The sequence below is a fragment of the Homo sapiens genome, chromosome 1 (genome assembly GCF_000001405.40).
Source record: "Homo sapiens chromosome 1, GRCh38.p14 Primary Assembly".
Classification (NCBI taxonomy): domain Eukaryota; kingdom Metazoa; phylum Chordata; class Mammalia; order Primates; family Hominidae; genus Homo; species Homo sapiens.
The window spans coordinates 62,019,113-62,040,222 of record NC_000001.11 but is presented as its reverse complement, the minus strand read 5'-3'; the positions used below and the strand labels follow the sequence as shown (position 1 = coordinate 62,040,222).

The following is a 21,110-nucleotide window of genomic DNA, read 5'->3' as shown; positions in this document are numbered from 1 at the left end:
GCAGAAGAATCGCTTGAACCCGAGAGGCTGAGGTTGCAGAGAGCCGAGATCACACCACTGCACTCCGCCTGGGTGACAGGGTGAGACTCCATTTCAAAAAAAAAAAAAAGGAAGAAAGAGGAAGAAAGAAATGCCAGTATCGCCTTTTACCTCCCCTTCACCAGATGCTCCCTAGAGAGCAAGTTCATCTAACTATGTGCTTGGGAGAGATCCAGAAAGGAACCCTCACTCACCAGGAGGTTGGCTGGATCAATAACAGCTGATTTCTATGGGCCCCCACCCCCCAACCAGGAGACTGCCTCGAGAGATATGAAACTCTGTCCCACCTGGCGAGTTTTTGGCCTAGTCCTGCACAAGAAGGCACCAGCAGTCACCAGCTCGACTGCCCAGTAGATAAGGCACCGGAGCTAGCACATGGACCTCCCCGTTGCTCATTTCCTCCTCTGCCTTTTAAAAGTGCCAGGTTTCTGCTCCAAAAGCGAAGCAGTTACCCTTAAAGCAGGAAGCCTGTACTCCTTCCCCAAAGCTAGCTTTGGAATAAATCACCTTCTTTATACCAGACCCCCTTCTTGATAACCTGTGTTTCGGCTACACAAGTAGCCTTCTCTGTAACTCAGGAAAGAGGTCACATTCCCCACGTTAATTCTCTCCAAGGCACTGCCCACTATATGATAATTCTTTTGGTTTATTTATTTCTTAATTTGTATCTTTGTGTCTTCAACCATGAAGAGAGAAAGATGATAACAAATTGGTAGGAAGCCTTAGTTTTATTCACACCTAGATCTCTAATGCCTAAAAGAGTGCTTAACAAATAATATGCACTCATTGAACACTTGTTTTTTTTTCCTCCAAACAGATTTATTGGATATAGCAAAATTCTATACACAAAGTGACCTGGACCAACTGCTTCAAAACATGATCCTTTCTTACTAATATTTTGATAGGTCAGTCCATAATGTTAAAAAGCAATTTACTCTTAAGTAAATAGAAAAGTGCCCACTGCACATTAAATGAATGGCCTAACTACTGGAACTTTAGTAGTTCTACAAGACAATTAACAAAGGTAGGATGGAGTTCCTATGACAGGCTGCTGAAGAACAGATACGAGCCATCAAGAGGCCATTTTGTGTACTGCCACTGTGAAGCCATCATGCTTCTGGATCATAATGTTCCCATTATCTGATGCTGGACACACTACAGGAGTATCAGTGGGGTCAGAGGTTAGCTCAGCTGCTTGTTGGGCTAGAACAGATATCACTCCAGCATGCTCATCTGACAGGGTCCCATGGCAACCCAGATTAAGTGAATCTGTGCACAGGACTCCAACAATGGAGGGATTCTTCATTGTATCTTCTATGCGCTGCTCCAAGGTCGCCTCCATCCCACCCACCGTCCACCCCGGCCCAGAACCCTGAACACGTGTTGAAAGAATAAAAATAATGTGTATTGCACAATCACATTTTTATTAAAAGGGACACTATATATAGCTATTTATGTTTACTGTAGAAACAAAGAAAAAAGTATGAAAAGATACTGAATAGTGAACGTTAACTTCCTTAGGGAGGTAGTGAAAGAAAAATTAAGATTTCTTTGAATAACCCTGCACTATTTAATTAGTAACAATAAGTATGTATTTCTTTTTGGAGTTAAAAAATAATTCAATTAATATAAAACGAGAAGAGAAGGAATATCCCCTCAGCTGGGGACACAAACTGATTACACAATTCTTTATCTATCTACTCCAGAAGCTGACCAATATTACAGCAATCTTATTATGCTAGTAATTTCGCCATTCACAGATGAAAGCAATTATTTAAAGACACCTTGATCACAGGTATTAAAGTATTTCAAAACCATAAAGAAAGGGGTACAATTCAGTCATAAACAAAGAGAATTTTCTTGTAAATTCTGAAATGCTCAATTAGGACAAAATTATATATTTAGAGGAGACCTTGAGCAACTTTGAGGAAGGTAATACTTATATGGTTAGGTTCTAATATATTTACTTAAAAAGTTACTTTATAATCAATACCTCAATACTTTCCATTTTGGTTAGGGAAATTTTCCACGAGTTTGGAATACCAAATACTGAATATCAAAAATGTCAGATTGGGGGAAAATGCTCATGACAAATCCATCTAATATACTAAGAGCTAATTAGAAACAACCTTACCTCAATAGAAGATGGAGAACTTGATGGCACTGGAAAGGGAGTAACGGCCATCTGATTGACTGCATCCTCGTTTCTGTGAAGTGTTAAAATAGGCAGAATCAGTACACAGTAAATGCTAAGTTCCTGGCTCAAATTATAAATACTTCCTCAGTTCTCAGTTGAAAATGCACACACAGCATCATAGAATTAAATATATATATATAAATATATAGCTTCCATATATATAGCTTCCAAGCATGCAAAGTTACTATGCATAAAAAATATGTGTAGCTCAAAGGATACTAAGATGCAATTATTAGTGACAAAGAGTGATGATGCTAGGAGTTACTCAAATCCCACTTAGTAAGTCAGGTGCTGCAGAGGATAAGTTTGGAAAGGCTTTGGCTCTTTCAGCACTGCAGAGTATAAATTTTTCAAATGGCCATGTGCAACCTTTAGGCCCCATTAATGTCTGGGGCGTTTTGTTCTTTGAACTGGAAAGGATCCCAGCCTCCTCACTTGGCTTCTAACTTTGTTTTGCCAAATGAAGGATGATGGGGTGTCTACAATAGGGCTGCAAGGTGGAGTATGAGGAGGAGTGATTGAGGGGGAGGGCAGAGCTCCAGACAGACAATGCTTTGTGGGTAGGTGAATTCTCCTCCTCCTCATCCCAATGGAGTAGAGTAGATGGCAGCTGAAACCTCATCACCAGGGTGATCAGAACCTATAATACTGGTTCTGATTATCTGGACCTATTTTCACCACATTACTAGCAAATGGTTGGCAGTGGTCTGTGGGAGATAATGACTATCCTTTATAGTCATTATACCCATTATGATGCACAACCAACATAATTATCTCAAGATTTATGTGAAGTTTGATTTTATGTTTCACAATATAAACCAAGGAAGCTCACAATCAATGCTTCCTGCTGATATGTAAAGTTCTTAGACTGTTCGCAGATTTCTCTCCATATGACCCATGTATATAGAAGAGCTATTGCCTGACTTGGGAGGGCATTCGAAATCCAACCCCATTTTATGCTTTACTTTTCACCAATTGGATTAGGAGACCATTCCTCCCTTGGTGATTTAATCATGTCACTGCCTTTTCTTGAAATGCCTTTCTTTCTCTTTTTTCTTTCCCTTCCTCCCTTCCTCCCTCCCTCCCTTCCTTCCTTTCTTCCTTCTTTTTTTTTTGAGATGGAGTCTCACTTTGTCACCAAGGCTGGAGTGCAGCGGCACAACCTCAGCTCACTGCAGCCTCCACCTCCTGGGTTCAATCGATTTTCCTGCCTCAGCCTCCGGAGTAGCTGGGATTACAGGCATGTGCCACCACACCTGGCTAATTTTTGTATTCTTTATTTAATTTATACCCCACCCATCCTTCCCCTCCAATGTGAGTTCAATGACCTCTAACTAGGTGAATTATTCCCTTCCCTTAAATTCAAAGACTATTGTATATATGGATGTCTTCCAAATTCACATATTTAGCCTAAATCTTTTGAGCTTAGGACTAGGACCTGTGTACCCAACTGTTACTTTATATCTCCACTAGATGTCTTACACGCATCTCAAATAAAATAGACCTTTTTTATCCCGCTCATTCACCATATGGTTCCACAGCCAATTCTCTCCACCAGAGTAAATGTCAACAACATCTGTCCAGTTGTTCAACCAGGAAACAGGGGTCATTCTTGAAAATTATCTTCCTCATCTGTACTTCCAACCACTAAGTCTCATGAATTTCACCTTCAAAACATATCTTGGATCTTTCCACTTCTTTCCATCCTATCCTATCTATAAGCCATCATCATTTCTCACCGGCATGTAAGAGCAACCCAGTTACATCTTCTCTCCAACCCATTCTCCACCCAGCAAAGTTATTATGATTCTAACACATAAAACTGATCATATTTCTAACCCCTTCTTATGGCTTCTTAATGCACTTAGGATCAAGAGCAAAGTCGATAAGGAAGCTCTGAGGTCCCAGCCCCCATCTCTGGCCCCCTCTAGTGCTTCTTCCCCTTGCTCACTTATGCCTCAGTCCAGCTGCACAGACTTTCTTTCCACTTCTTAGCTGAGCTGAGATCTACCCGCCTCAGGGTCTTCTCTTACCCCACTCTCTTCTGCTCTGCTTGACAAATACTTTGGCTGATTTACTCCTATTTCTCCTTCACAGCTCATCATAAACGTCATTTCCTAAAACAAGCCTTCCAGGACCTTCTTAATATGCTCATAGCACCCTAGACAATGATTGCTGTTATAGGTCTGCTCCTTTCATATTTTACCTAACTGATCTGTGTGAACATTTGCTCCAAATCTGAATTTCTCTCTGGGTGGGAAGCATTCCAAGGACAGGACTCATGTCCGTCCTACTCCCTATGACACTATCTAGGGGTAACACAGTGCCTGGCAAGTGTTTGTGCTTAACATAGTTATTGAAAAAAAAAAAATGAATGAATGGTGGGGTGGGTTGGGGTGGGATGTAATGACAACTCTCTTCAATAAGGATACAGAAAAGTAGGAGTCTCAGTTCCAGCCCTGCCGCTAACTAACAGAGTGACTTTGGGGAAATCACTTCTCAGAGTCTCAGTTTCTAAAACCCTTAAGTAAGTAGCTTAACTATTAAGAATCCTAAATTGGTTACTTTTTTTGTGGAATGAAGCACAGTATAAATAAAGACATGAAGTCTAGGTGCCATTTCAAGCTCTATGCTTTTTGGATTCTTAGACTATCTATCTAGGCGTGAACCAAACCAAAGCAATTGGGAGAAAAACTACAACTATAAAGTGACATAGCGTATCAAGCGCATCTGTTTTTTCTGACTGCATTTCAGGTGCCTTGAGCAGACACTATTATGTTAAGAGATGGCTTAGCTATTGTTTTTCAGGGAGTACAATCCATTCCTCAGTAGTTTGCTCACATATAGAAAAAGTAATCCATCACTTGTGGGTAAAGAACAGTATTTTCCCAGTCATAATTCCTTTTCCCACTCAATTTCTCCCATTGAACACCACAATAAAGCTCAGCTTAGGGCCGAAAGCCAACAGGCCATGTCTGCTGTAGATCTGGAACTCACAGCGCAGAGTATACTTGGCAGTAATTAAATAGGTGACTTTTCATATCTCTTTCAAAGGTTACCGGCATTAAAAATATGGCTGTACATGAATTCTTATTGAGAGATCGTGATGAACTGAACCAAGTTAGCTCAAATTGGCCAAGTTATTCCTTCACAATTTAATGATTTTTTCACAAATTAGTATGACTTTAATGGCCTTTAAAGTCCATATTAAATTTTTTTAACCTTACATAATAGAAAACCGACAATTACTCTCACTGAAAAGAAGAAAGCTGCTATAAGAAGTTACAGTTCATAATCCTTTATCATCTACTTAATGGTTAGTGGTCACATCCCTCAGCATCAAGCCATGGAGAGCTGACATAGCTGCTATTTTAAAGAGAAAAGTAGGAAGACGGCAACCAAAGGAGAGAAGGCATTTACACTTCAGACAAGCAGTGGGGCCTGGATGACATCTGGAGAACCTTTGAGCCCTCATATCCTATGATTCTCATAAGTAATGATATCTGTTTGCTTTATAATTAAGCTTTTTTTTTTTTTTTTTTTTGAGACAGAGTCTCTCTCTCTCGCCCAGGCTGGAGTGCAGTGGCGCGATCTCGGCTCACTGCAGCCTCCACCTCCCAGGTTTAAGCGACTCTCGTGCCTCAGCCACTCGAGTAGCTGGGACTACAGGCGTGTGCCAACATGTGCAGCTAATTTTGGTATTTTTAGTAGAGATGGAGTATCACCATGTTGGCCATGCTGGTCTTGAGGTCCTGGCCTCAAGTGATCTGCCCGCCTTGGCCTCCCAAAGTGCTGGGATTACAGGTGTGAGCCATCAAGCCGGGTGAAACTTTCCTTTCCATATAATTAGCCTAAGTTTCTTAGGCCCCAGTGCCTCAAAGAGAACACAGTCAGGAATTGTAATTGTTTGTGGGTGTTTTTATAATTATCTTTAAGAGCTGCTGGGAGAGAGATAACGGACTTTTCCCACAGATAAGGGTGAGACCTGTTTTCCAGAGCACGGAACACTGCATGTGTGTCCTCATTGCTGTACTTGCCATGCTCTGTTAAAATTACTTGTGCTGGTTTTTCTCCCACTCTGAGCACAAGGATGAGATCTTATTACTTCGTATCTCCAGCTTGTAGTGTGGTACCTGGCAGGGAGTAGGTGTACTGTGATGTAAATGTCTGTTGAACAAAAGTGATCTTAATAAGGCAGAAAAAAGAAACCAGAATTACGGAAACCGCCCCATGCTTTCTGAGCTGTTTCCATGAGTTAGTGAGGCTGTGCTGCCTGTAGTCGGCCAGCTATCAGTATTTACCTCATGTAAGGGCCATTTCTTGGGGTGTCCACCTAGCTCACAGTGATTCCTCGGATGGGCCAAAATGTCTACACTAGGTACTAACAGCCCTGCCCTCAAGCAGATTGGATAAAGGGGGCAGATGCCTGCCTCAGTCTGGGGCAAATTCTCTCTCCCAGAGGCTTAACATTTAGAAGAGACATATAAAGATCAGGAGTGCAATGTGAAGACTACCAACGGGAATGCTCAAGGATAAACAGGGGTTCAGAATTCCCTTCTGCTGACATCTCTAGAGCTGCCCTGGTTCCATCTCTGGAGCCTTATTGTATGGATCCTTTTTTAAGAGTCCATGAGGCATCTGGACTCTTACAATACATTCTCCTTTTAGTTTAAGCTGGCTGGTGGTTACTTTGATTGGTTGAAACTCAACTACATAGCTTTGATTTTATTTTGAATATATACATTTCTTTATTTAACAAATATTTATACTATGTACACAAAAATGGATAAAAGACCATTCTTGCCTTTGATGATATTAGCAATTAGTGAAGAATGCAGCTAAGTAAATGAACAACTACAATTGTGGCATTAATACCTGATATGGTTTGGCTGTGTCCTCACCCAAAATCTCATCTTGAATCGTAGTCCCCATAATCCCCACGTGTCAAAGGAGAGACCAGGTGGAGGTAACTGAATCATGGGGGCAGTTTCCCCCATGCTGTTCTTGTGACAGTGAGTGAGTTCTCAGGAGAGCTGATGGTTTTATAAGTGTGTGGTAGTTCCTCATGCATTCATTCTCCTTCCTGCTGCCTTGTGAAGAAGGTGCTTTGCTTCCCCTTGCGCCGTGATTATAAGTTTCTTGAGGCCCCCCCAGACACGCTGAACTGTCAGTTAAATCTCTTTCCTTTATAAATTACCCAGTCTCAGTATTTTCATAGCAGTGTGAGAACAGACTAATACACTACTCAAGGGATCTCAATTTAGTTTTTCTCCAAAAGCATGCTAAGAATACCTCTAATTCAGCTTCTTGTTTGTAGAATATATTTATGTTTGTGGAAAACACACATTCTGGATCCTGATTTGAATTCTGCTTTGTTATAAAAATGAAACTCACATTGGTAAAAATCATATAACTTGTGTTAGACAAAATGCTAACAAGTCTCCCAAAATTCCTGCCCCCAGTTTACAGACAAATTTCACTTCCATAATTAAACTATATGATAAGTCACAGCTGACTGTAAGATAAAGGGAGATTATCAGTTTGGACCTGACCTAATCATACAAGCCCTTCAAATCTGGAGATTTCACTTAGAACCTCATATCCTAAATCCTTAAATTAGTAGGTTGACTTAAATGAATTCTAAACCAATTAAATTCTTTGTGGAATGCCTAGGAAGTCAGAGATTGGAAGCACCATTGTTTGCTTCAGGATGGAGGGGGCTTCCTGACAAGGACTGTGGGGGACCTCTAGGAGCTGAGAGCAGCCCCCACCTGAGAACCAGCAAGAAAATAGAGAATAAGCCTGGAAGCAACTTTTCCCCCAAAGCCTCCAGACAAGACCTCAGCCTGACCAACGCCTTGACTTCAGCTTGGTGATATCCTGGGCAGAGAACTGAGCCATGGCTTGTCATGCCAGCATTCTGACCTACACAACTGTGAGCCAATAAACAGGTATTGTTTTCTGCCGTTCAATTTTGGTAATTTGTCACATAGCAAGAGAAAATTAATACATGACACAAATTTTGATTTGGAAAACATGGTCACCGGAAATATAACTAGAAACATAACATTTGACCGCTTACCAGGTACCATTGTTCAAAATCCTTTACATACATTAACTCATTTTAACCTTCATAACAAGTCTAGGTAGTAGTTAGAATTATTTTTTTCATTTTCTCTTGGTTTTACAGAAAGGTTAAGCAACCTGACCAAAGTCACACAGCTTATAAATCACAAAGCTGACAAATAGCAGAGCTGAGGTTCAAAAACAGCAATCTGGTTTCAAAACCTACTCTTAACTACTATACTACAGTGTTTCCCATTTTCATAGCCTATCCAGAGCCACAGATGTCTCCTTCTCTCATATACGCAAGTTAAAATCCCTAGGTGAGTCCAGGCGATTAAATTTTGGGCTATTACTTTTTAAATTATTTAATAAATTTCCTTGGGGTAAAAATACATGCAAGGTTCTAAGTCTGCTCACTGTATTAACTGCAATCTGTCCACATTTCATATGTGGGTCCTGGGTGTTTTATCTATTAACATATTACCTATCCCTTATAGAGATATAATGACTATAAAATGCTTTAAAATTTCATTTTGTGTGATGGGGCAGGTATAGTGGTGAATATTACAGCGGAGTGTAATTTCCTCAGTACTATTCTGGGATAGATATTAGGGCTGTTCATAAATCCTCTAGCTTCAACTTTTCTTCCTCTTTAAAGGTGAACCAGTGCTTGATTAGCTACGTTTCCTGTTTCTGCATTGGTGATCATGGAAACAAATGCTGAGAAGGAGCCTCTGCTGCCTGGGTACGTGAATGACCACGGTGAACAGAGGGCTCAGTAAGGAACCCTGACGGGTATGTAACATGAGAAAGAAATAAACCTTTGTTTATTTCTTTGTTGTCTTAAGCCATGAGTTTTGGGGCTGTTTGTTACTGAAGCATAACTGTGTCTACCCTGATTCTAACATGCTCTATACAAGTTTATTCAATAATTTTTTAAAAAGCCACGTTCATACCTTATTCATAGTAACTAAAAACTGGAAACAACCCAAATGTTCACCTACAGGAGAATGATCATCAAATTTTTGTATATTCATAGAGTGAAGTATTACTCTGTGATTAAAGGAACAAACTTTTGATAAACACGACATGGATAAATCTCAAAAATGTTATGTTAATGAAAGAAACCAGACACAAAAGAATAAATGCTGTTTGATTCTATTTACATTAAGTTTAAGAACAGTTGAAACTAACCTATAGTGACAGAAATCAGGAAGCAGGTGGCTCTTGGGAGAAGGAGAGAGTGACTGTAAAGGGACACCAGCAATCTTTTGGAGGTGAACGAATAGTCTATATTTTTGTTTTGTGTGGAGGTTACACAGGTGTATGCAATTATCAAAACTCAATAGACTTAAGACATAAAATCTATTGCACTGAGTATAAATTATACCCCAATTAAAAATAAATCCATGATAATGTGTAGTACAAGACAACTATGTTGGCTTGGAAATGAATATAAGCAAAGGCACAGACACCAAAGCAAAGGTATGGATTCTATCACTGATAAGATATAAATAAGATACAAAACAACTTAAAACCCTGGTTTCTCAACCTTTAAAATTGGGATAATGTCTAATATTAATAGAATTGTTATGAGATAATGTAAACGTCAAAGCCAAAGCACACTAACAGAAGTAAATATTTAATGTTTTATGGCTTTGTGATGTTAAATCTCAAATGCTTAAACTTCCAGGTGCTACATCCTCGGTTGCTATTAATTCATTCAGCCATCAACCAAAAAATTTAAAACACCGCTGAGTCTAATGGTTTAATCTAAAGGCTTTATTCTTCTTTTTTCTTTTAATCCCACAGTTTCCATCCTAATTCATGTCCTTTTCATGTTGCCTGGTCTATGACAACAGTATCACTACTTGTTTTCTTGTTCTGCTTTCTCTGCATCTGAATCCATCCAAATTGCTCCCTCTCAACTGTGAAAACTACCCACTGGAACCGAGCCTGAAAATAACCCAACATCAATGAGTTCCCTCTATGGATGTTTGTTTTGCCTGATGTATAGTTTCTTATTTGCATGTCTTTGTAGTTGCTGGAGAACTTCTTACTTAACTGTATGACCTTTTATGGCATATGACATACAGGAGGTACTCAGTAAATCATGAATTTGCTGATGCCATTTGGACTCAGTTCTTTCCTATGTAAGTCTACCTAGCTAGTATTAAATATTAACTAACTCTCGCTGTACCCACTTCTCCAACAGCAATCGCTTGCTCCTTTGAATTTCTAAACTGCTCATGTGGCTTGTCTCAGTAACTTCATTCTATTCTTCTAAGGGTATTTCACTGTATTTTTGGATGCACATATATGTCATATACAGCACTTTGTTGATATAACATTATATATTTATTCTTTATCCCTCAAAGGTGTAACCATAATTCAAACTGTAATAAGGGATTTCATTAACATGTTATTTGATAGCCCTTGACTAATTCCTTAGGATAAATATGGGATACTCTAATATAAACTCGAAAAGAACACTGTAAATTGTTGCCAAAAGAAAAATTAGTGGTCATGAGGAGAACATACTCATGCTTCAGGGAAACACAACAAGCCCATGATGACAATTTATGAATGATGAAAAATAAGACATCTAATGTAACAGGCAGTGTGTGTATGTTTGTAGAATGCCATCACTTCATCAGGATATGAGATATTCCTAAGAAGCATTTCTGCCTCTTCTAAAAGCAAGAAAGTGTGTTTCATCTTAAAATTCATAGGGAATTTCAAGGCATCCCAAATAGCCAAAACAATCTTGAAAAAGAAAAATAAAGTTGAAGGTCTTACCTTTCCTTGATGTTCAAACCTACTGCAAAGCTACGGTAATCAAAACAGTGTGGTACTGGCATAAAGATAGACATATTAACCAATGGAATAGGACAGACAGCCAAGAAATAAACCCTGGTATACGTGTATGTATGTATGTATGTATGTATGTATGTATTTTGAGACAGGGTCTCGCTCTGTCACCCAGGCTGGAGTGCAGTGGCATGATCATAGCTCATTGTAGACTTGAAACCTCAAACTCCCAGGCTCAAGCGAACCTCCCACCTCAGCCTTCTGAATAGCTGGGACTACAGGTACAGGCTACCATTTCTGGCTTTTCTTTTCTTTTTCTTTTTTTTTAAACACAGTCTTCTTCTGTTGCCCAGGTAGCAGTGTGGGTGACATGATCATGGCTCACTGCAGCCTTGACCTTCTGGGCTAGAGCAATCCTCACACCTCAGATTCCCAAGAAACTGGGACCACAGGTGTGTGCCACCACACTGGGCTAATTTTCTTTTTGAATTTTAGTAGAGATGAGGTCTCGCTATGTTGCCCAGTCTGGTCTTGAATTCCTGAGCTCAAGCAATCCTCCCACCTCAGCCTCCCAAAGTGCTGGGATGACAGGCGTGAGCCACCACACTCACCCTGTATATGATTAAGGGATTTTCAACTAGAACACCAAGACCATTCAATGGGGGAATGGATGATCTTTTCAACAAATGGTGCTGGAAAAACTGGATATCTACATGTAAAAGAATGAAGTCTTCTGGATGAAGGTTACACTGATGGGGTGCATCTGTAATCCTAGCTACTCAAAAGGCTGAGGTGGGAGGATGGCTTGAGGCCAGGAGTCTGGGGCCAAACTGTGCTATGATCATGCCTGTGAAGAGCCACTACTCTCCAGCCTGAGCAACATAGAGAGATCCTCAACTCTAAGAGAGGGGAAAAAAAGAATGAAGTCATAGCCTTCCTTTATACCATATATGAAAATAAATTCAAAATGAATCAAGGGCTTAATATAAGAGCTAAAACTATAAAACTCTTAGATGAAAATATAGGGATGAAATGCTTTGTGACATTGGATTTGACAATAATTTCTTGAATACAACACCAAAAGCACAGGTAACAACAACAAAATTAGATAAATTGGACATCAAAATAAAAAACCTTGTGTATATCAAAGGGCACAATCAACAGAGTGAACAGGCAACTTATGAAACAGGAGAAAATATTTGCAAATCACATATCTGACAAGTGGTTAATATCTACAATATGTAAAGACTCCCATAACTCAACAACAGCAAAACAAACAATCTCATTAAAAAAATGGGCAAGGGACTTGAATAGACATTTCTATAAAGAAAACACACAAAAAGCCAATAAGCACATGAAAAGATGCTCAATATCACTAATCCATCAGGAAAGTGCAAATCATGCACATCAAAATCACAATGAGATACCACCTTACACTCATTAGGATGGATACTATCCAAAAAAAAAAAAAAAAAAAAAAAGGAATGTTGGCAAGGTTATGAAGAAATTAAAACCTGTGTACATTGTTGGTAGGGATGTAAAATGGTACAGCAACTATGGAAAACAGTATGGAGGTTCCTCAGAAAATTAAAAATAGAATAACTGTATGACTCAGGAATTCCATTTGTGTGGTATATATCCAAAAGAATTGAAAGCAGGGTCTGGAAGAGATATCTGTATATCCATGTTCATAGCAGCATTATCTACAGTCACCAAAAGGTGGAAGCAACCCAAGTACCTATCAATGGATGCGTGGATAAACAAACATGGCACATACATAAAATGGAACGTTATTCAGCCTTAAAAAGAAATTCTAGCACATGCTGTGACATGAATGAACATTGAAAATACATGCTAAGTGAAATATACCAGTCACAGAAGGACAAATACTGCATGAGTCCACTTATGTGAGGTACCTACGGCAGTCAAATTCAGAGACAGACAGTAGAATGGTGGCTTCCAGGGGCTGAGAGGAGGGAAGAATGGGGAGTTGTTGTTTAATGTATACAGAGATTCAGTTTGGGAAGATGAAATAATTCTGGAGATGGATGGTGATGATGGTTGCCCAACAGTGTGAATGTACTTCATGCCACTGAACTGTGCACTTAAAATGGTAAAGATGGTACCTTTTGTGTTATATGTTATACTCGGTTGCTCCCACCTTTTGGCTACAGCAAATAATGTTGCTATGAACACGGAAATAGAAATATCTCTTCCAGACCCAGCTTTCAATTATTTTGGATATATACTCCACAAGTAGAGTTGCTGGGTCCTATGGTGAAATTGTGTTATGTTTATTTCATTGCAATTAAAATTACCTGAGCAAGAAAAGAAGTGAAAGTGTGATGAAAATATGTTTGAATTATTTAGAATGTCACTTAAAATCATGATTGTCTTCAGCATGCTCTGGGCCTGCCTCTTGGAAACGTCCTTTCAGCAAATCCATAGGATCTCATTTTATGCCAACAAAATACCGTTTTATCAAAAGCAGAAGTTATGTGCCTGAATTCAGCCTGGATTGTTGAGCAGGCTGACTTTATTTATTGCAACTTGTTCTAAAATGATTACAACTACAATCTAGTGCCTGGTACATCATTTAGGTGCATGTACACACACACACAGACACACACACACACACACACACACAAATGTTGAATAAATGAACACATCAACACAACTCACCAGGCCTGGATATTGCTTTCTGATTATACTAAATCTAGTCATCTGAGACATTCCAGGATAGTAAAAAGTAATCTCTATACTTCCTGTATTAATTGGAACATGACACTGAATTAACATTCAGCCAGGAAAGCTCCATGTAAATGAACCAGAAGTAATGTACAAAACAAAGCAAATCATTCTATCTCAATGGGAAAACTCCTTTCCAAAAAGATTCCAGGAGATATTCCTAACTATATGAACAGAGTAAACAGTTCCAATTCACAATTAGAAGAAACTACCAAAATAGCTGAGTATGTCAAATCGGAAATAAAAGTCCATTGACAGTGGAATAATGAGTTCTATTTACTTGGCCCTTCAAACAATGTCAATTACTAATGAGGGCTGCTGGGAGAAAGCAGTTTCTAGACCCACATTCTACACAGGAGGCCTGAGGCATGTTCTAAATAATTGTCACCAGTTGTGCCGAGGAAAAGGTGGCTCATAAAATATTTGGCAGTGCAGGCTGGCAGGGGAGTTGATGTGGGGAACTTAGGACTGGATGGAATGGATGACTTGGCCTAATAAGTTTATCAAAGAGAGCCTTTTATTTATTTATTTATCTATTTGAGACAGGGTCTCTCTCTGTCACCCAGGGTGGAGTGCAGTGGCACTACCTCAGCTCACTGCAACCTCCACCTCCTGGGTTGAAGTGATTCTCTTGCCTCCGTCTCTTGAGCAGCTGGGATTACAGGCACATGTCGCCATGCCCAGCTAATTTTTTGGCATTTTTAGTAGGGACAGGGTTTTGCCATGTTGGCCAAGCTGGTCTCGAACTCCTGGCCTCAAGTGATCAGCCGGTCTTGGCCTCTCAAAGTGCTGGGATTACAGGCATGAGCCACTGCGCCCAGCCATCCAAGAGAGTCTTTCTAAAAGATAGTACCATAGATACTCTCAGCTATTCCCCTCTTATTCCTGGCTGGCAAATCCTAAACGTTCAGATACACAGACCTTAATATACAGCCCTCACCATAAGGCCATGTGCTGGGATCCTCACCCTCAGGGACAAACTGGGACAAATCCTGCCTGATTCCTCTTTGATAATCATGGTAATCTCATTTCAAGAGCCAGCAACGGTTTGGCAATGGTAATGAGTGATGCAGGAGATCCTCAGTAGAGACTTGTTCAGAGGCTTTATACTCTGCTAAAGTCGTTTGAAGGATGAAAAACTCAGAATTCTAAGGCTAAAAGCTTACAAGTGACAGGAAGATGCACAGAGGAAACCAAATGTCTCACTCTGGTTGCTCGTAATTTGTTCAGATAGCTCTATTTCTTATCTGTTCATTAAGATTCTTTGACAGTAAGCAATAAAAATAAATTTGGGCCAACTTAAGCAAAAGAAAATTTACTGGAGGGATACTGAGCTCTCACAAAATTGATAGGCTATAGGATCAGGCTTGGGACAGTTGGGAACTAAGAGACTTCCAGAGGACAAGGAAGTAGGAAACAGAATGATGTAGCAGGAGTGTCTGGCCAGGGCACTGTGGCTCTATGAATAAACACCATTCGTATCAAGTCACTCACATTGCTTGCTTCCAATTCTATGCCTAAGGTATCATATTGCCAAAATGTAAGACACATTGAACACCCGCTGGCCACACTTTGGCAGTGAGAGAAAGAATTGGCTCCTTCACCTTCCACAGAGGGAGACAGGCATCTAGATGTATTGTTTCACTGTGTGTGTGTGTGTGTGTGTGTGTGTGTGTGTGTGTGTGTGTGTGTGTGTGTGTGTGTTGGGAGGTGGGAAGTGGGGGTCTACCCAAGGAAACAGGAATTCCACTGGGCAAATAGTATAAATATTGACCAGCAAAAAAGAAAAAAAGCAAGCTCATGTCATCCCTGATGACCATCTCAATTAGTTGTTTCTGAGTGCCAAAAGAGGTGAAACAAATGTAGGCATAATTCCTGTAAGCTAATATATGCAGGTATTATATTAAGGAATGGACGTAGCAAAGAAAAAATTACCAATTCTGCCCACGAAAGAGTAAAACTGAATAGACCAATATCAACTTCTGAAATTGAATTGGTAATTAAAGAAAACCCTGCCAACCAAAAAAAGCCCTGGACCAGATGGATTCACAACTGAATTCTACCAGATGTACAAAGAAGAACTGATACCAATCTTACTGAAACTATTCCAAAAAAATCAAGGAGGAGGGGCACCTCTCTAACTCATTCTATGAAGCCAGCACCAGCCTAACACCAAAATCTGGCAGAGACACAACAAAAAAAGAAAACTTCAGGCCAGTATCCCTCATGAACATAAAAGCAAAAATCATCAACAAAATATTAGCAAACCGAATTCAGCAGCACATCAAAAAGCTAAACACCACAATCAAGTAGGCTTTATTCCTGAGATGCAAGGCTGGTTCAACACACACAAATCAGTAAATGTGATTCACCACATAAACAGAATCAAAAGCGAAAATCATATGATGATCATCTCAATAGATGCAGAAAAAGCTTTTGATAAAATCCAACATGGCTTCATAATAAAAACCCTCAACAGACTATGCATTAAAGGAACACCTCAAAATGATAAGAGCCATCTCTGAAAAATCTGCAGCCGACATCATGCTACCTTACAGAATTCAAAATGATTGACATACACAGTTATACTTACTCAATGATACTTTCCTAAAGAAGGATTGCTTCTCTCCTAGAAGCAAATGTCCAGGTATTTTGATTGGGTATCCAATTGTGGAATCTTTGGGTTTCTATACATCCTATGACTTTGCTTACTTATCCTTCGAGTCTTAGCCTAAGCATCTTTCTCTGTGATATCTTCCCATGGGCCCCAAAGACTACATCAGATGCATCTCCTATATGTCCCTATAGCATCACAGTACTTATATCACTGGATAAGGTACTAGACTATTGTTTATTCTCTGTCTCCTCCTTTCAGACAGAAATTGTGTTCTTTCCATCACTGACTCCACAGCATTAACACAAGTAGGTGTTCTGTAAACACCTGTTAAAAAAATGAATGAATGTTTCTTTATGAAAGTTAAACTCATGCTTATGCATGCATTCTTTTTTCCTGTTTACCAAAACTAGATCTAATGAATCAAGAGCACAAGAAGGATTTTTTTTTTTTTTTTGAGATGGACTTTCACTCTTTTTGCCCAGGCTGAAGTGCAATGGCGCGATCTCGGCTCACTGCAACCTCCACCTCCTGGGTTCAAGTGATTCTCCTGCCTCAGCCTCCCAAGTACCTGGGATTACAGGCACCCGCCACCACGCCCAGCTGATTTTTGTATTTTTAGTAGAGACAGGGTTTCACCATGTTGGTTAGGCTGGTCTGGAACTCCTGACCTCAGATGATCTGCCTGCCTGGGCCTCCCTAAGTGCTGGGATTATAGGTGTGAGCCACCATGCCCAGCCAAGAAGGATTTTTAAAATAGGCATCCGAGTTGCTTCTTCAGATGGTCATCTCCTTAAGATGACTCTGGCATTCACATTAATTCAAGCAATATCATCTTTCAGGGATATGGCCAGAGGATAACGAGCCACACTATATTTTTAATTACAAAAGGAAGACATATGTTCAATCGATACAGGAAGGTGGAGCCCATGGTGAGTCCACTTTTACTCAGTGGGGCTTGACAGCTAGCACTAAATCTTTCCAAGGATTTCAGTTTCATCTCGTTTCCTTTAGCCCCAGGAGTTTTTACACAGTACACATTTTCCACATGTAATTAAGTAATGGAGAGTGAGTTGTTATACATGACATTCAATTTTTGATAGTGGGGGAAGGTACGACAAGAGCTGCAGGCAAGATCATTAATCTCCTTGGATCCCTGCACTGCCAAATACAGCAATTCATTTGTTGTGTTAATACAGCTCTCCTCTTGTACTTAAATTGGTGTGCTCACATGAAGGGGAGAATGCCAAACACGAAAACCCACAGAATTGAATGTAGAGTACATAGCAAGCACCCAGATTGTAATACACATCTGGATGATCCAGAGTTGAATAATTTAGTGTATCAGGGACCATATGTTTAGGGTACAATTTCCAGGATTATCCAAAATCTAATGATGCGAAAAGCAAAAGGGAAAAAGTGATTATGTAAGTCATGTATAAATAGCTGCAACTTGCTGATTTGTGCTAATGACACACAGACCCCTTGCCAATTATAGATAAATTAGTATATGAATAAATACAAGTGTTAAAAGAATATGACAAGGACCTGATTACAAAATGTACATTGCTATAGACTAAAGGCCTTAGTTAATTAAAATGTTGCCTGCAGCATATTTTAATAGCTTTCTGTGATTACTGCTAATCGTTCTCTAAAACCTGTGGCCAGTTCCCATTTCCATCTCAATTGTCAATACATTTGAAAAACAGTTGTCAAGGTATAAAAGCCAAAATTTTCTGTATAATGGAAAAGCACAGAGAATAATTTCAACTAAGGAAGGAAATTTTGCCAAATAGAAGTGCAAATTGTAAAGAAATACAATTTATAAAAACTAGTCCTCAAAGTAACGTTATAACACAGTACAAGTTATGCAGAGTTTAAAAGAAAAACAAAGTCGCATCTGTGGTACTGAGATGATTTAAGTGTTAACTTCTGGAAACTTGATAATGAATCGAATTTTAACTTCTTCAGGATTTGATTCTAAAATAAGCAAAATCAGGATTCTTATAATAAATAATTATTCAGAATCACTCCTATATGTTTTTTCTCCCTATAAAAGAAGGTATAAAAAAACTTAGCTAATTTGGGAAAGTACTGGGAAGAGGGACTGACGTATGAGGAATTTTGTAAAATACTGAGTTACAGAAATATATATATTTTTAATCCACAAAATAACAACAACAACGAACTTACTATAATTGTTGATTTTGGACAATAAGTAACCTAGAGTTGCTTAGTAGGAGTGAAAAGGAAATTTATTCAATAAAGCTTTCTGAACACTCATTATATGCCACACACTGTAATTGAATGACCATGCAGGAAAGGTTTGTGCTACAGTCTGAATGTTTGTGTCCCCTCAAAATTCATTTGTTGAAACCTAATCACCAACATGAAGGTATTAATAGGCAGGGCCTTTTGGAAGGTGTTTACGTCATGAGAGTGGGGCCCTCATGATGGGATTAGTGCCCTAGAAAGTAGGCCCAAGGGAGCCCCTCCTGTTACGTGAGGATACACGGAATAGATCTATGAAACAGGAAGTGGGCCCTCTCCAGACATCAAATCTGCTAGAGCCTTGATCTCAAACTTCCTAGCCTCCAAAACTGTGAGAAATAAATTTCTGGGCCTGGTGCAGTGGCTCACGTCTGTGATCCCAGCACTTTGGGAGGCCGAGCCAGGCAGATCATTGATGCCAGGAGTTTGAGACCAGCCTGGCCAACATAGTGAAACCCTGTCTCTACTAAAAATAAAAAAAAAACTAGCCGGGCCTGGTGGTACACACCTGTAGTCCCAGCTACTCGGGAGATTGAGGCATGAGAATTGTTTGAGCCTGGGAGGCAGTGGTTGCAGTGTGCCAAGATCGCACCACTGCACTCCAGCCTGGGTGACAGAGCAAGACTCTGTCTCAAAATAAATGAATGAATGAATGAATGAATTTCTGTTCTTTATAAGACACTCGGGTATTTTGTTATAGCAGCCCAAATGGACTAAGAATTAGATTACAGATTTTAAATGTACATTGATACTTCTAAATTGCTTAAAATCACTTCCAGTAAATAAGCATTCAGCAGCATCCTTAATCTTGTGTATACCATTAATTTAGTCAACAAATTCTTTTCTTGATTCTGTTCTGTTCAATGATCAAAACTGAAATAATCAGACTGTAAATTGATGGAGCTTTACTACTATGATTAAAATTCTATTCAGCTTTCCCTTCTGTCTTCTAAATAATTTCAAATTATTTAACCTTTCTTTATGGAAGGAGGAGGGTTTTATTTCCCAACTACACAATTGCATTACATTATTTCCTTTGGACTCTATTCAATTTTCTTTTTGCTCTCTTTAAAATGGCATGGCCCATGTGGATAATAAAAGCCCCACAAATGCTGAAGAGGTACGTACTGTTGATAACAGCTCTTGTGGTAGCAGCCATCACTACGTACTAAATGTACATTTACATTGCATATGTACATAGTACATTGTACCATTTGCAATGGTACAAATCTGCACCATGTGCAGATGCTGATACTGTTAAGTGCTACATATATCTTCTCATGTACTAGCCACAGAATTTTTTTTTTTTGAGACAAGGTCTTGCTGTCGCCCAAGCTGAAGTGCAGTGGCGTGATCATGGCTCACTGCAGCCTCAACCTCCTGGGCTCATGCGATGCTCCTGCCTCAGCCTCCCGAGTAGCTGGGACTACAGGGCACATGCCACCACGCCTGGCTAATTTTTTTTTCTTTTGCACAGATTTGGTCTCACTATGTTGCCCAGGCCAGTCTCAAACTCCTGAACTCAAGCCATCCTACTGCCTTGGCCTCCCAAAGTGGTGGGATTACAGGTGCAAGCCACCGCGCCTGGCCCCCACACAACTTTATGCAAAGTTTTCAAGTCTAAACACACTACTTTTGTGGACTTCTCTTAATGAACAACATCTTAATCTCTTGAGTGCTGACCTTTCTTCAAAGTCTACTCAAGTTTTTTTTTTTAATCAACTAACTCTAATTTTATAACCCTTGCCAAAAGAAAGGACAAGAAAACCAAAAAGGAGACTGGTGTCTAACAGAGGATGTCAAAGGAGAGTAAGGATAAAGGGCTCATCTTAATATACAAAGACATAGGTGAAGGAGGAAGCTTTCACTCTCTGAAAATAGAGTGAAAAACTAGAAAGCCAGAAAGTGCCACTAGATGAGAGAAAAGGATGCTAATATAGGATTTCCTTTTTTTTTTTGAGACAGAGACTCGCTTTGTCAACCAGGTGGGAGTGCAGTGGCGTGATCTCGGCTCACTGCAACCTCTGCCTCCTGAGTTCAAGATGCAATTCTCCTGCCTCAGCCTCCTGAGTAGCTGAGTAGCCACCACACCTGGCTAATTTTTGTATTTTTAGTAGAGACAGGGTTTCACCATGTTGGCTTGGCCAGGCTGGTCTCGCACTCCTGACCTCGTGATCTGCCTGCCTTAGCCTCCCAAAGTGAGCCACCATGCCCGGCCTTTTTTTTTTTTTTTTGAGACAATCTCTCTCTGTCGTCCAGGCTGGAGTGCAATGGTGCGATCTCAGCTCACTGCAGCCTCTGCCTCCTGGGTTCAACCAATTCTCTTGCCTCAGCCTCCTGAGTAGCTGGGAGTAGAGTTGTGCG

The 21,110-nt window shown here is 39.8% G+C and overlaps 1 protein-coding gene, 1 long non-coding RNA gene and 1 pseudogene across 21 annotated transcripts in view, besides 1 other annotated feature; 1 reads left to right on the top strand and 2 right to left on the bottom strand.

Moving 5' to 3' along the window:
- PATJ (PATJ crumbs cell polarity complex component) overlaps positions 1–21,110 on the bottom strand; it is a 421,436-nt gene that overhangs the window by 123,693 nt on the left and 276,633 nt on the right. For all 19 annotated transcript variants that reach the window (XM_011540462.4, XM_011540467.4, XM_011540464.4 and 16 more), the window contains one exon: positions 2,174–2,246. In XM_011540462.4, coding sequence (XP_011538764.1) covers positions 2,174–2,246 — 73 coding nt within the window. The remainder of the gene's footprint in view (positions 1–2,173; positions 2,247–21,110) is intronic.
- Positions 243–845: an enhancer, noted in NCBI's record as "H3K27ac-H3K4me1 hESC enhancer chr1:62505050-62505652 (GRCh37/hg19 assembly coordinates)". NCBI's record gives its function as "activates a minimal SCP1, AML or CMV promoter by ChIP-STARR-seq in naive H9 embryonic stem cells {active_cell/tissue: H9 hESC(naive)}" and the evidence as "EXISTENCE:reporter gene assay evidence [ECO:0000049][PMID:30033119]".
- Positions 837–1,412, bottom strand: LAMTOR5P1 (late endosomal/lysosomal adaptor, MAPK and MTOR activator 5 pseudogene 1; annotated as a pseudogene).
- LOC107984965 (uncharacterized) overlaps positions 9,015–21,110 on the top strand; it is a 45,543-nt gene continuing 33,447 nt past the window's right edge. For both annotated transcript variants that reach the window (XR_001738097.2, XR_001738096.2), the window contains exon 1: positions 9,015–9,097. This is a non-coding gene — a long non-coding RNA (uncharacterized LOC107984965). The remainder of the gene's footprint in view (positions 9,098–21,110) is intronic.